The 14,693-nt window shown below is 54.0% G+C and overlaps 1 protein-coding gene across 25 annotated transcripts in view, besides 2 other annotated features; it reads right to left on the reverse strand.

Moving 5' to 3' along the window:
• Window positions 1-14,693, reverse strand: part of ACSL6 (acyl-CoA synthetase long chain family member 6) — a 62,241-nt gene that overhangs the window by 34,665 nt on the left and 12,883 nt on the right. For 13 of the 25 annotated variants that reach the window (NR_175945.1, NR_175946.1, NR_175947.1 and 10 more), the window contains 8 exons: window positions 9,394-9,614; window positions 6,216-6,330; window positions 5,463-5,527; window positions 4,770-4,871; window positions 4,168-4,267; window positions 3,411-3,589; window positions 2,185-2,217; window positions 770-821 (listed from right to left, as the gene is read on the reverse strand). Coding sequence is in view for 22 of the 25 variants with exons in the window: in NM_001205250.1 (NP_001192179.1) it covers window positions 770-821; window positions 2,185-2,217; window positions 3,411-3,589; window positions 4,168-4,267; window positions 4,770-4,871; window positions 5,463-5,527; window positions 6,216-6,330; window positions 9,394-9,614 (867 nt within the window). In the remaining 3 variants the exon portion in view is untranslated. Of the gene's footprint in view, window positions 1-769; window positions 822-2,184; window positions 2,234-3,410; window positions 3,590-4,167; window positions 4,268-4,769; window positions 4,872-5,462; window positions 5,528-6,215; window positions 6,331-7,107; window positions 7,177-9,393; window positions 9,649-9,814; window positions 9,963-14,693 lie in introns of those variants that run through there. The other 12 variants (NM_001405488.1, NM_001405490.1, NM_001205251.2 and 9 more) reach the window with 5 other exon arrangements.
• Window positions 9,369-9,912: an enhancer, noted in NCBI's record as "H3K27ac-H3K4me1 hESC enhancer chr5:131329699-131330242 (GRCh37/hg19 assembly coordinates)". NCBI's record gives its function as "activates a minimal SCP1, AML or CMV promoter by ChIP-STARR-seq in naive H9 embryonic stem cells {active_cell/tissue: H9 hESC(naive)}" and the evidence as "EXISTENCE:reporter gene assay evidence [ECO:0000049][PMID:30033119]".
• Window positions 10,457-11,000: an enhancer, noted in NCBI's record as "H3K4me1 hESC enhancer chr5:131330787-131331330 (GRCh37/hg19 assembly coordinates)". NCBI's record gives its function as "activates a minimal SCP1, AML or CMV promoter by ChIP-STARR-seq in naive H9 embryonic stem cells {active_cell/tissue: H9 hESC(naive)}" and the evidence as "EXISTENCE:reporter gene assay evidence [ECO:0000049][PMID:30033119]".

A 14,693-nucleotide genomic window follows, 5' to 3' on the forward strand; every position in this document is an offset into this window, starting at 1 on the left:
GGACAGCATGCTATAGAAATGCAGAGGGTTGTGCCTGTGCTGTGTGTGTCCTCTTGTGCTTTCTGCCTCCCCCAGGAAGCCTTCCTTGATTATTCCTGCCACTGTTGATGTGTGTGCTCCTCTGTCAGCTCCAAGCACAGAGGATATCATTTCTGCTTGTGTGCTTTGCCTGACAGCCTTGCTCATGGCACACCAGCCCCAGCCTGCAGAGCATCTGCATTGCCCTTTCACACACTGTCCCATCTCCCACTTGGCACCTTTAGCCACCCTCATGGCAGATGAGAAACTGGGGACACTGGTGGCAGAGAAGTTAAATGAGTGGCTCACAGTCCCCCAGCAAGCAGTGGAGGTAGGACTCAAACCAAGGCTCTCAGACGCCAAACCTCACACTCTTTCCCCAGTCTCCAACACAAAGGCCAGGCAGGGGCAGAAAGCAGGGGAGTGAGAGCTGTTTACCAGAGAGAAATGATGCCAGTGAGAAAGGACCTTCCCTCAGCACATGATCCAGCTGCCCATGACTCTGCTGACTCAGCTCTGGGAGGTGCCAAGCCCTCACACTGGACCTCCCAATGCACACTATCCATCTGCATCTGGCCACTCTTATGCAGGGCACTGGGAGGTGCAGGAGGTCACCCAGTGTCTGGAGCCAGGAACAAGACAAGGCTCAGCCCATTTCAAACAGGGTATCAAAGACTCCAGCAGTCACCTGCTAGGCCACCAGGGAAGGGTGCAGGTAGCCATGGCTGGGGATCTGCGTGCCTCTGCTTACCTGTCGTGCCGCTTGTGAAACACACAATGGAGAGGTCATCAGGCTGCGGGGGCTGCAGGGGTGAGAAGAGGAGTGTGTTAGGGAGACCCAGTGTGGCCAGCCAGGGCCCAAGATGCCTGGGCTCCCCAACCAGCCAGGCCCATATGTATGCTGTATGTGGGTGTGAGCATGTGTTGGGCACGCCTGCATGCTCCTGTGTGCTGCGCTCAGAAAGGTGGGCAGATGAGCGCTCAGGAAAAAGAAAAAGAAGCTGAGGAAACCTAACTGGGGTGTGAACACTAATCTGTCCCACCAACCTCACATCTGGTCCCACTGCCTCCCCTACTTGAGCCTGGGCTGAATTATCCTAGGTGGGATTGGGCTGCAGTGGCCACATCTCAGTCTCTATCAAAGCTCTGACCTTTCTAGTGGATGTGACCCAGTTCCCTCCCTCCTTCCCATGTTCTCCCAAGTATCTGAGGTTAAGCTTGGGAGCACGTGTGGCTTGGGCACTGAGCTGCCCACTGTGTCACCAAGGCTGCTCTGCATCAGCCCTTGCCCTGGCACTGGGCACATAGTCTGGGGTCACCAGAAGGAGCCCACCAAGTCTGCTTGCATGTAGAGGATGGCTTCCCAGAGGAGGTGACAGTTGAGTTGAGATGGAAGCGCAAGCAAGATTTCTCCCGATGAAGTGTGGGTGGGTGTTTTGGGGAGAGGAACCAGCCTGGGCACAGGCACAGAGGCAGAAGAGAGAAAGGGTGCTGAGGGATGGGAGAGTGGTTCTCTAAAACTGAGCCGTGATGTGTAGGAGATGGGCAAACACCAGGAGCTACCCATGCAGTGCCCTGGGAAGCCGGGGGTGACCTGCTCAGGCCTGTGTGAAGGGAGAGGGAAGGACTGAGCTGGAGGGAGGCCTGGAGGCCATATGCCTTTTAGAAAGTTGAAAATCCCCACATGGCCCATCCCGGGGGCAGCTGCCCTCACTGTGGCTCAACCCCAGGAAGTATCACATGGGGATGACGCACAGAACAGTTCACAAAGCAAAGATGAACAAAGACAGCAGATGCCACAAGGCCATTTGGCACAAGAGTCCATTTCTGGTTCTGCTGTTGCTTCTGTCTACTGCATCTTCTGGAGAGTTTGCCATATTCATAGTGAGAAAGTAAGACTTCCCAAAGAAGTTACTTGAAGAACCAAGGGTGGCCAGGATTGGCAGCTCTTTTTTCTCCCTCCCAAATACCTGACTCCTGTTCCAGGTCCTTCCCTGGGCCCTCGGCCCACAGAAGTCCTGGACACTCAAGTGGGCATTTCCTGGCTTGCACACAGGAGTTGCTTATTAACACAGAGGTGCTGTTCTGTGCACAGTGAGGGACTCTGTGAGGACAGGCCCTGCACGCCATCTCGCTCAATAAAGACCTGCAGGTGAATTCGCTTACCACAGGAGCCTGGTGATTCTCTTGGCCACAGTCCTGAAAGAAGAAAATGCTGTTTTTAAATGCTCAAAAGTTCTCTCTCTCTCTCTTTCTGTCCCTCTGTCTCTGTCTCTTTCTCTCACACACGCACATACACATACACACACACACATACCCACACACTCACACACACACACACACACCACACACAAAATCAGAATAAACAGCTCAGTAGGCCTTACTCCTGCACCAATCCCAGAGTTTAAGATTCCAAAGCAGCCACTGAGATGGTCATGGCAGACATGACCTCAGTGGCCTCTTCTCAGACAGACATCTAAGCCTGAGGCTCCTGGGAGACAGGGAGGGTGACTAGAGGTTCTAGGCCACCCCACACATTACAGACAGGGAGTCTGAGCCCCAGGGAGAGGCTAAGCAAAGTGCACATGCCACCTGTATGATGGCAATCCGAGTGTGAGCATGTTGGGTTTAAAGTGCTCTTGGCACGGCTGGGCACATGCTCAGGATGCAGCAGCTGGGTGGACTAGGCTTCTGGATGAGCAGTCAGTGCTAGTGGGGCAGGTGGGGGCTGCCAGTGTAGGTCAGCTGCCAGTGCCAGGGAGGGGTACAATGCATAGGCATTACCAGTAGAGTGGGGAGCACATAGGGAGGCAGGAGAAGGAGGGCCTGGGGCCTAGATCCAGTAGGGCATAGTGGGGGGTCAGCTGCTACTGGGCAGGGCCTGAGGCCTTGGAGGCCAGGATGTCCTGTGTCACCCCAGCAGACCACCAACTGCCACCAACCTGATGTCTCTGGGGAGGCCAGGCACAGAAACATCCATTCTGCTGGCCGCTGGGGGTCTGGATCACATTTGTAAGAACCTCTCCCAGACTCCTGGACCTATGTCTGTAGTCCTCAGACACAGACAGGCTGAGGCTAGCTGGAAATGAGGAAGCTCCAGAGGCTGTGTGAGTACCTCTGAGGTAAGCTGGCACCACGGTCCACCAGTCAGCACCTAGTGCCAGGCTGGATTAACTGATCCAGCCACGGAGCCTATCTCCTAGAGGATGCCTGTGGGCACCAACCCCACCACTCACCACCAGCCCTTGCAAAGCCTGCCCTGTCTGGACACTGATATACCCTGCGGGCCCAAAACAGCCACCCCAGGGCATGAGAGGGACAGATAACCAGAAGTTCTGACTTGGTGACCAGCCAGCAGTAGCCCAGCAAACCGCCCAGAAGCAGACCCTCACCTCCACGGCCTGCATGGACTTAATGACCACCCCGCACTTCTGCCCTCTCTCTTTCAGGGCTTCTTCGAATGGGTCCATGAGGATGATCAGCTTGAGGCCTGGAGTCTCCTTCCTCTCCACATGCTCTAGCAGAAGCACAGCCTTCTGAGGTTTGTCCACAATCACGGTGCTGATGTCCGCTGCAGGGGGCCATCAAGGAGAGTCAGGCCATGTGGGCCCAGGTCATGAGTGCAGGCAGCATGTGCCAGGCAGCACATGCCAGGCAGCACTTCCATGGTCTGTGTGCCCATAGCTTATGTGTAAATAAATACATAAGACAGGCCTCGTGTACAGAGGAATTTGCCGTGGGTCCTGGGCGGAACCAAGGGCAGAAGGCCATGGAACCTCCTCAAGCAGAGTCCAAGCTCCCCTTTGTTCCAGGCTCTGCCCCCATCATCCCAGGTCTGTTTGAGATATTTACCACCCCCTGCATCTGTGCCAAGCTGTCATGAACTTCAGAGGGCTGTACCCTGTGTGGAGGCTGTTGCAGAGGCTCCTTCTTGGCAGCTGAGCCCTGTGGAAGGAACCTTCGTGTGAAGTCTGACCAGGGACAGCTTGACTCAGGAAGCCAACTCAGGAGCCACAGTGTAAGCCCCTAGTATTTTCTGAGAGCAAAGTGCCTCTTACGAGTGTCAGACAATCAGCATAACCTGAGAAGCTGGAGGCTGGAGGCTGGGGACCAGTTGCCAGTGGCAGGGTGGGGTGGCAGTGGGCTTACCTGTATTGATGATGTAGCGGATAGCCCCAGGGCCCAGGGTGTCATAGAGCGGGACCACCACCATGGAATATGTGTAGCAGGCCAGCTCCACAATGATCCACTGTGGAGACACATGAGGCGGGGGTGGGGAAGAAGGGGAGATTAGAGGGCTGTCCTGCCCTTAGGCCTAGGTAACCAGCGTCCCTGCTCTAAGCCCTATGCCTGTGGCAAGGAATCCATGAGGTTAATGGGTTGTGTCTGCTCACCCACAGCCTTCTGGACCAGGCCTGTACCAGAGAATTCTGTAACTCCTGGATTTCATGTCTAAACTGCCCCAAGGACAGTTCCATGGCCTGCATGAGCCTGTTCCTCAGGTCTTTCCTCCCCATTGGCTCAAGGGGCAGCTGTTTGTAGAGCTGGGTGGGGTGTGGATGGAGCATGGCTGGGGTGGCCAGTGCTGATGAGGGGCAGAGCCAGGGTGGGAAGAGGAGTGGTGGCATAGCCCAAGGGTCTCTGTTTTTTCTTTTGTCCTGGGCCCTACAAACAGTGAAAGCAGGACTATTCCATGGCAGCCAACCCCTACCCCACGAATCCCTCTAAAACCAGTCAAGGTAGATGCTCACCTCTGGCCGATTTTGTGCAAAAACACCAATAAACTGATCAGTGCATGCTTTACAATTGTGCTGGAGAAGTCCGGACCCCAGAAATTCAGCCCTGTCGGCCACCTGCACACAGATGTGGGGAAGTGATGGGAAAACAAGGACTCTTCAACAGGGGAAGGAGATCCCCAGGAGGAATTCTTTTTTTTTTTTTTTTTTTTTTTTTTTTTTGAGATGGAGTCTCGATCTATCACCCAGGCTGGAGTGCAATGGCACAATCTCTGCTCACTGCAACCTCTGCCTCCCAGGTTCAAGCAATTCTCCTGTCAGCCTCCCGAGTAGCTGGGATTACAGGTGCATGCCACCACACCTGGCTAATTTTTTGTATTTTAGTAGAGACGGAGTTTCACTGCGTTGCCCAGGCTGGTCTCAAACTCCTGTGCTCAGGCAATCCACCCGCCTTGGCCTCCCAAAGTGCTGGGATTACAGGCATGAGCCACCACGCCCAGCCGGGATTCTTATAGATCTGAGGGACCTCCCTGACTTCCAACCCGGGTATGCTGGAAGCCCTTCAAGGCTGTTGCCAGGAGTTTGGCAGACAGGCCAGGGAAATAAATGACCCTCTGAGACCCAGCAGGTGCCCACATCCCTCCCTACCTGCCCTGAGTGCCAGATCTGAATGGGTGGCCAGGGTGGGGCCTGTCCTGTATCACTCACCTCCTGGTAGGACAGCCACTGGTAAGGCTGCTTAGGCTTCCTGAAACCAAGACAGGGCCCATTCCCTGTAGAGAGATAAGAAAGCCTTGTGTCAGAGAGGGGTCAGAGTGGGTGTGCCACCTGCATCCGCCCATCAGAAACCTGGATGGACATCCCATACTGTAGTGTGTCCATGGGCCAAGTGAACTGCCCTCCTGCACTGCCAGCTACCTGTCTAATCTGCTGAAGCCCAAGAGGGCCTAAAGCACATAAGTATGGCATCATCCCAGGGATCAGGGAGGTCTGGAAATGGGGAATGATGCAGTGCCTAGTCCCCATCATAATTTGTGTGGTGATCCCTATTACAGACCCAAAGGATACAGACACCTGGGGACCACTGGGAGGAGGTGGTAGGCTGCCTCTCTTTGCCTCTTACCCTGAGAGCACCCAGACATCTCAGAGGTTCAGGTTCAGAACCATGCCAGCCAGTGGCCTGGCAGTTCAAGGCTCCCCAAGAGTATAGAGTGTGGGCCAAGTGATGGCCTAAGGTCAAGCTGCCCCAAGGGCTGGAACAAAGCTGAGGTCAGCCCTTTAGCCATATAATGCAGCTGCTTCTCTGACTGGTGGGAGAAAGGCCAGGAGTAGCTTCTCTCCACTGAACCTGGGGATAGCTCACCTGCCATGGCCCTGGTATCATGCTTGCATACCCACCCTTGCACCCACTCCACCCCTGCCACACAGCCCCTCCACACCCCCCCCCACAACCCTTCTCACCTGAGATGCTAAGCCCACGGCGGAACACCTGGTACATGGTCCGGGCATCATCATAGTAGTGGGTAAGTAGCTGAGGGCCAGACCCAATCACAGATCGCCGTGCCCCGCCACTGTCCTACAAGCCAAGCACCGGCCAGAGAAGTTGGCTGAGGCAGGTAGGGGTGCCAGGAGAGGGCCGCAGCATGCACAAGGCTGTACCCAGCTCGGATGTACAACCCGTGCATGCAGTTAGCACCGTGGCATCTGTGTGCCCGCGTACACATGGACTACACACACCTGGACTGTATACACTCAACCTGCATGTAGCCACACTCCGACATAGTTGGCTCATGCATAAAGGCCGGGTATACCAGTGTCCCCACATACAAACTCCACACACACATACAGCATTCACACAGCAGGTCAGCATATGCAGAATGTCCAGAGTTTTCAGTTAATGTTCGTACACACCCATGTCTCATTCATACAACACAGTGGGGAGTATTGGCTGGATTCAGGAACAACCTGCCAAGGTATCTCCCATCCCATCATCTACTGCTATGCCCCTGAGTTAAGGATCAGTTGGGTGTGGTGTTAGCTAAGAAGGCTGCCACCCATCATTCACATAATGAAGTGAGTTAGAGGACTGTGCTGAAGGTTCTGTCCCAGGCACAGAAGCCTAGGAGGCTAGGGAGGGAGGACAGGCTGAATTATGTTCATGTGCAATGGGGGAGGAGAGGCAGGCAGCAAGTTCCTGGGCCCAAAGTGGCACGGGTGCAGAGTGGGAAGGTGGCAAACCCCTCTGTGCTGGTGAGTAGGGTGAGGAGCCAGCCTTCTCCTGCCTCCTCCCCTTCTACCCTGTCACCCTTCCCCAGGGTGCCCAAACCCAAACTCTCCAGTATCACAGCTCCACCTCTTCTTCAAGCACTATTTGAGCTACCCTGGGCTGGGCCAGAGCCTGCCACCTCTTGGAACAGCAGGTCTAAGGAAAAAAACATCTGTGAGAACCAGAAAGCAAACAGCCGAACTCAAAACCACAGGCAGCTCCCGACTGTTTTCGAGTGGAAAGTTCTGATTGGCCAGTGCTTTCAAGGACCAAGCCCACCTAAGACCTGCAAGAGAAGCTGGGACACATCCAATCAGACCCAGTTGCACTTGGGCAACAGATATGGTACAAGGAGAGACTGTATGCCAGGGACAGAAGAGGCTCAACACTGGGCATGTGTGTTATCGATCAGCTGCCAAGCTGGGCTTCGAAGGATGGATGGGGGTTGCCGGACAGAGTGAGGAGGAGGGAATAGCAACCCTGCATAGGCAGCACCACATGCAAATGCACCGGCAGGAGGCACAGGTGCATTTGGGGAACTGTAGGCGATTCATGGAGCTCCAGATCGCAATGGTTGGGGAGGAGGCCAGAGAGGCTGCAGATCAAGGCAGAATCTGGACTTGAGGTTGAGGGTAATGGGGAGCCAGGAAAGGGTTTTAGGCCAGGCGAGTGACAAGATCTGAATTATTTCCCACCACACAGCAGGCACAGTCAATGCTGCCAGGCCCTGTCTGATCTGGGCCCCTCTTGCCTCTCCCATCTCATTTCCTACCACTGTCTCCTTTGCCTACTCCGGTGCAGCCACTCTGGCTTTCTGGGCTCCTGGGGGATGAGGCAAGGGAGGATGCAGTCATTCCAGGAAGGGAGGCATTAGCTTCATCCCATGTCCTGTCTTCCAGACCCACAAGGTGACTCACTCAGTGGCCCCTACACACGAGCCAGGGTCATCCCTCTCACCATTCTGACACCATCCAGACCACTGTCACCTTCAACCCAGATGCCTGCAGCTGCTTTCTTACGCTTGCCCCTGTCACACCCACCTTTCTACGGCACAAACTGGCCATGTCTCTCCCTACTGAAAATCTCAAATAGCTCCACGCTGTTCCCTCTGCTGGTCCCTGCACAGTTCACAGGGCTCTGTCCTTGCTGACCTCTCCAGATGTGATATAGTCACAAGCTTAACCAAAAACAGCTGTCCTTAGTGACTTCTCTGGGTCATCACACCCAATCTTTACCACACCTTAGAAAGCAGGTGCTCTTTTTATTACACACTTTACAACTGAGAGCCCTGAGGCTCAGAGAGTTAAGAAACTGCCCAGGGCCATACACCTCAGAGGCACAGCCAGGCTTCAAACCCAGGACTGCCAGACACCAAAGGCCATTCTCAACAGCACTTGGCCAGCCCATCTCTGGCCCCTCTCCACTACCTAGCGTCCCACGCAAAGCCCCCATGTGCCTCAGCACACACCTGCACCTTTGCACATACCATTCTTCCGCTGGAAAAATGCCCTGAAGATCCCAGCCCCTACCTCAACCTGCACCCTCCCCTACAAGGCAAAACATGCTTATGATCGCCAAGGTGCACTGTCAAGAGCAAAAGGCAAGGTGCACAACAGGGTATGTGGTGGATATGAGTGAAAGCGTGGTGAGTATCTCTACACATCTGCTCACGGCCAGGACAGAGCATTAGCAGGTTGCATCAGGGGAAGAGAACTGGGAGAGCAAGGAAGAAGACACAAGCTTTTCAGTACATTCCATTTGTTTGTTCTGGACTATGTGGATACATTATCTATTCCAAATGAACAGAATTCAAGAGGAGAAAAAGCAAATTTTTAAAAGGCAAAAATAAATTCCATAAGCTTAATAATGAAACACACCTCACCAGTCCTTCCAGGCTTAGCCTAGAACACCCTTGTCCACTGGCCCTTGTATCGTCTTCCCCTTGGTGGCACCATGTGTGAGTCCATGTACTCAGGGAGAGCAGGGCCAGGAGTGGGCTGAATCCTGGGTCCCAGCACCAGACCAGGAGAGTTTGGGAGGGAATCTACCAGGAAGCTCCTCAAGAACCTGCTTAGGCTTCCTACTGCAATACCAATGAGCCAAGGCCCTCCTACCCGAGAAGCAGGCAAACTAGAGGCCCAGTGCAAGGCCCAGGTCAGGCTCTACCCAGAGGCAGTTCCTGGGAGAGGCAGAAGGAGTGCCTGGTAGGAGACCCTGCCCAAGGCTGCTGCAGAGCTAAGTGGCTGACTGCCAGGGGAGACACCTTCTCTGGGCCATGTGAGGTCAAATAAGCCACAAGTCTGGCTTCTACTTCCAAGATGCCTGTCCTCTGCCCCCTACTTTCCGCAGTGGAACGTCTCCTATCCTGCTCACCTCTACTTCTTCTGACTGCATCAGGAGGTTGCATGGCGGCTGCAAGGCCTTTGGCCGGTGAGTGAACCAGTAGGCAAGGATGGCAGCCAGGGCACCCATACTCACGAGGGTGGTGGCCGAGAGGCTGCGGAAAAACTGTCCCAAGTCACCTAGCTCAGGCAGTCGCAGTATCCTCAGGATCTCCTGTGTCTGCATCTTCTCCAGAAGTGAGAGGACAAACTCTGTTGAAAACAAGAGTCAGATAAGGCAAGAGACCTGACGGGCAGGTTAGGGAGGGGTCCTGGGTCACAGGACCTGATATCTGGTCTGAAACACTGTAGGGCAGGCCCTCGGGGAGTTGGGATGTACAGAGTGCACCCCAGAAGCTGGCTACCTAGAAGGGCTTTTCCCAGGAAGAGGCCAGAACCTTCTGCCGTCACACCTGACAGTCAGATGTCCTGCCCACTTTTCCTGAGAATCATACGCTCAGGCCCTGGGCCATGGCTGACAGCTGCTTCCATATTTTCCAGGGCCACTGCTCTGGCAGCTCTGGGAATGATGCTTCCTGGACCTCAAGGCCTGGGTGCTCTGTTCTCCTGTGTGACAGCTGTCATAGCATTTTACTTATCTTTGCTCCTGGGGTGTGGAGAAGAGGGAAGGGCAGCAGAAGTGCTCAGCACAGTGCCCAGGGGTGAAGGAATGCAGGCTCCTCCCTCTCTACCTCTAATCTCCCAACTCCAGGCCCTGACCCTGAGTGAGAGCGAAGTGGGGGCAGGGCAAAGACCGCAGATCAGCCCTGACAGATACTCCAGCCCTCATGATGTGAAGGTGAAGACCTATCTGACTGTATGAGCACTATGGCTCTGCACTGTCCCTCACCGACTACCAAGAGGACAACTGGCCCCACCATAACTGGGCCCTGTGCTATCCTCCCTGATCCCTTCAGCAAGTGTTCAGAGGCAAGGCAGGTGGCAGAGGAGAGCAGGTGTTAACCTGGTAGGAAGAGAAACCACGACTCAGAGAGAAATGGCTCAGCGGAGTGCTGTGTGCGCTCCCCGGGGGACCAACATCTCCTGCCATGTCACAGATGGCAGCCAGGGAGCCACCCTCACCCACTACAGCCCAAGTGGGTACAGTGGGCCCATCAGGGAGACATGGCAGATGCCCTGGGGTAGAGAGAGGGAAGGTCTCTGTGAGAAGCACTGGAGAATGGCTGAAAGAGAAGCAGGCCCCAGGGGCCTGCGGCATCCTCCTCTCGGCCACTAAGTGAGGCCGTGTTGGCACAGCAAATACACAGCCAGCTTGGCTCAAGGGTTCTGTACCTTGCTTGGAACTGAGGAAAGTATCAAGGGTGGGCCAGGTGATGGGTGCTGGCATCCCCAATGGGACCCCCTCATGTCACTGCCTAGTAGGACTTGAGGCTAGAGGCACCTACAGGTCTGCCAGCCCAGTGATGGCAGGGTGGGCTCAAGGCTGCCCTGTACCACCCCGAGGCACCCTCCTCACAGGCCCTAAGCCTTTGGAAGCATGGCTGTGCTTCCAAGAAGGGAAACAAGGAGAATGCAACAGTGGCTACTCTGCAGCCATGGGATATGAGCCAAAAAATTGCTTGACCCCTGAGAGAGGGGAGATCTGCTGAAATCCCAATAAATGGCATTTGTGTTAAACCATAACATCATGACACCGGAGATGAAGTCAGTGATGTGCAAAGTCATTGCAGAGACACACAAAAAGCCCTTCAGTTGTAATTCCTTCTCCTTCTCTTATGAGCAATGCAAGGTTGAGCCTATCCTTCTTCTCTGAACCTCCACTTCCCCATCTTTAAAATGAGGGCAGTACCATTTAGACATATAAAGCCCCTTGCACTGCATCTGGCATATTCAGAGGACTAAAGAGATGGTTAAAGTATATGCTTGTCAAACCAAGAGGACTGCTCAGCCCAGGACACATGAAAAGGGGTCAGGAGCAGGCCTGGTACAAGCACTGGGCAGAGGTGATTTGGCCTGCACACTGTGGCCCCACAGAAGGAGTTTATGCCCTGCAGATGGCACAGCAGGCTGAGTCCTGGGAACACTCATCAGCCACCCACAGGCTCTGGGTGAGCCTCTAGCCAAGTGTGGTATTTTCACTGAGCTCCTGAGCTGGAAATCCAGTTTTAACAGAAGCTTCCTTGAGCTGGGTCAGTTATGAGACCATCCTGGAGGAACAACCCACTCCTAGCATATCCATCCAATTCAGCTTCTGCATAATAAAGCAGAGGCCAAGTTATAGACCACAGTAGATTCACCAGGGAAAATCACTCTGGAGAAGACTCTGGGTAGGTGACTAGCTGGCCTTCTTGGGACATTTACTTCCTTAAGCTATAGATGGGAAGATGAAATCACAGCCAGGCCTATCAGATAAATGACTCACTACTTAGTAGAAAATCCAGACATGCTCACCAACTCGTAGGGTGGGTTCTGAGCTGATGGACATTTTTCTTGAAGGAGCTGAACTGACTTAATGATATGAGAAGCCAAGGACCAAGAAACTCATGCCTAGCACGAGGGCTCAGCTGTATACCCCAAAAGTTTTAAAGGGAACCCTGGAAGGATACCTCATTACCACCAGTCCCTGGTCCTTGGCAGATGCTCACAGACTCTGAGCTTTGCATATTGTGGCATTCGGTGCAATGCTAGAGTTTTTACAGAGCACAGCCCAGATTAGCCAAGTCATCCATCTGTCTTTCAACGCATCTGGCAGACCCTCACACAGTCCCTCTTCTCATCTAGCTCAGAGTTGGGCCTGCCCTCGGTCCCCTGGGAAGGACACATGAGGAAATGGGCAGTGTTATGATCAGACATGGGGAGCCAGAAAAGCTGCCTGACTTAGGTACGAGAGAGTCAGGGCAGGCTTCTGGCAGGAAGTGATATTGATCCTGAGAATGAAAGATAAAGATGAAAGGGTGGCCTGGCAGAGGAAAGTAAACATACAAAGGCTGGAGTTGAAAGAGCACATGGGACACTTAGGGAACAGAATATTCTGTGCAGAAAATAAAGCACTGAGCCCACAAAATCTCATACAAAGATCAGTGCTACAAGTCTGTGAGGCTGGCCTCTTGGATATGCTGAGCTTTCAGCAGTCACGGTATTACCATGGTCCTCAGTGGGAGGAAGAAGGGGACTTGGCCTAAAATTCCTGAGTTCCTGATGCCTGGGCAGCCTTTTCCTACACACTGTACTGTTTGACCCTCACAACAGCTGCAGGTACTCCCTCTAAGGTGGGAGAACAGAGGCTCCACTGGAGAAGCCACCTTGTTCAGCAAGCGAGGCACACAGTAAACAAGTAGTAGAGCATAGACTCAAGCCCAAGACTGCAGTCTCAATGCCAGCCCCTCATGTGGTATGGCCACCCCAACCCCTGCCAACATTGGGCCCACTCCCACAATCCATCCTTTCCTTCGCATTGGCACTGAACCCACAGACAACCAGCTCCAGCTGCCTGGAAGAGCCCAGGCCCAGGTTCAGGGGCTGGGGGAAGTGCAGGGCCACCAGAGCCTGTATGAGGGGACCAGCCAGTTGGGCCAGTCATTTGCTATCTTTCGCCATGGACATGGGTGGGCTTCTTCCTGGCCTTACATCAAGAACTCACCATCTTCTCCTGGCTGAGTCCTTCTCCTCCTACCTGGGGTGATGGAAGGCAGTGCGCAAAGGGCTTGGCTGCCCACTCCTCCTTGCAACTTCTACTTAGGTGCTCACCCTGAAGGAGGTATTTGCAGCAGTGGCAGCTCCTCTGACCTTGAGGCTGGGCCTGTACCCCACCTTGGCTGGGCAGCAACCAGAGGGTCTCGTTCTTTCAGGCTTATCGACCTTCTCAGTCAGAACTGCTTGCGTTTACACTGAGGTTCCCTTCAGACCTGGGAGCCACTGCAAGGCAGAGCTGTGAGTCCAGGTCCCCTGAGGACATGGGCCTCAGAGCCAGCCCAAGCCACCAAGCCTTTGACATGGGGAGGGCAGAGCCTAGGCCTTGGAGTCTGGTCTCATCTCATTATTTCACAGGGCCTTGGCCTCCTCTGACCTCCACACCTCTCTTTTGACCTGGGGTAGGGCTTGGTGGTCTCTAGGGTCCCAGCCATACTGCCTCCTTCCATACCCCAAGAGACTCTCTTGGCTGCAGCAGAGATGTGCATTGTGTGTGTGTCGGGGGCAAGAGGAGTGTGGACAGCACTCAAGGGAATCAGTGGTGCTGGTGTTGCCAGGTGAGTGACTGTGTTTGTAAATATTCACCTGGCAGGAGGACTCAGGCATGAACAAGCCACCTAACATGAACTAGCCACCTCCTCCTCTCTTCCTGGAATATCCGACATCTTTTTCTCCAGCACAGACCAGTTCAGAATACCAAGTGGTAGCTAAGGCTAAGGAAACTGGAACTTCCTCCCACCTCAGCATGGCCTCTGCTGATTTAGGGCAATCCAGCATGGGAGAGAACAGGAAGAAAGGGGCCCTGGTGGGAAATATGTTGGCTCCAATGTGGTGGGGTGGCAGAAGCAAAGCCCCAGAGCACAGTCACTGTGGAACTGGCCCTGGGGACCCTGACATGGCTCCAAGAACTCTCTGCTGGTCCAGCCTCCTAACCTCAATACTCTAGGCTTCATTGTCTAGCTGGATACCCGACCACTCCTCTCTACCCCAACGGCCCCAGGCCTGACAGCCACCACCAACCACAGCCCAGACTCCCATACCACCCTCTCCATAGGTCTCCTTGCTCTAACAGGTGCTTGCCCTGTTACCAAAGTTATTTCCTGATATGTAGATAGGATCATGTCATGCCACTGCTCAGAAACCTTATCTGGCTTCCTATTGCCTTAGGACCAGAGTCCAAACTAATGCTCACACTGAGGCTCTCCATGATCCTCGGATTCTTCCCTCCCCTTTGAATCACTCCAGCTTCCTCTGTATCAGCCTCTCTAATAGGGGTTCATATGATGGAGTTCTGGGCCTCTGCAAACTTCTGAGGTCTTCAAAACGGGTGGGGAAGCTCAAGCCCAGCCACCAAATCATCAAAGAATCTCCTCAACTCCAAGTGAAGAGCTCTGAAAAGAAAACTACAACCTCTCCCAGGGCCCAGGGACCCTAGCAAACGAGCTTGGGAGAGGACCCAAAGTGGGTATTCTGGGTATTCCGGTGCTGAACTGACCTGGGTCCAAATCATGACTCAGTCTCTTGATAGCTGTGTGGCCTTGGGCAGGTCACTTTGCCCCTCTGGGCCTCATCTCAAACAAGCTCATGGACAGAGAGTGCAGTGCCAGGCATGTAGTAAGGGAAACACTTAGTAGATAGCAA

This window comes from Homo sapiens, chromosome 5, assembly GCF_000001405.40.
Source record: "Homo sapiens chromosome 5, GRCh38.p14 Primary Assembly".
NCBI lineage: Eukaryota > Metazoa > Chordata > Mammalia > Primates > Hominidae > Homo > Homo sapiens.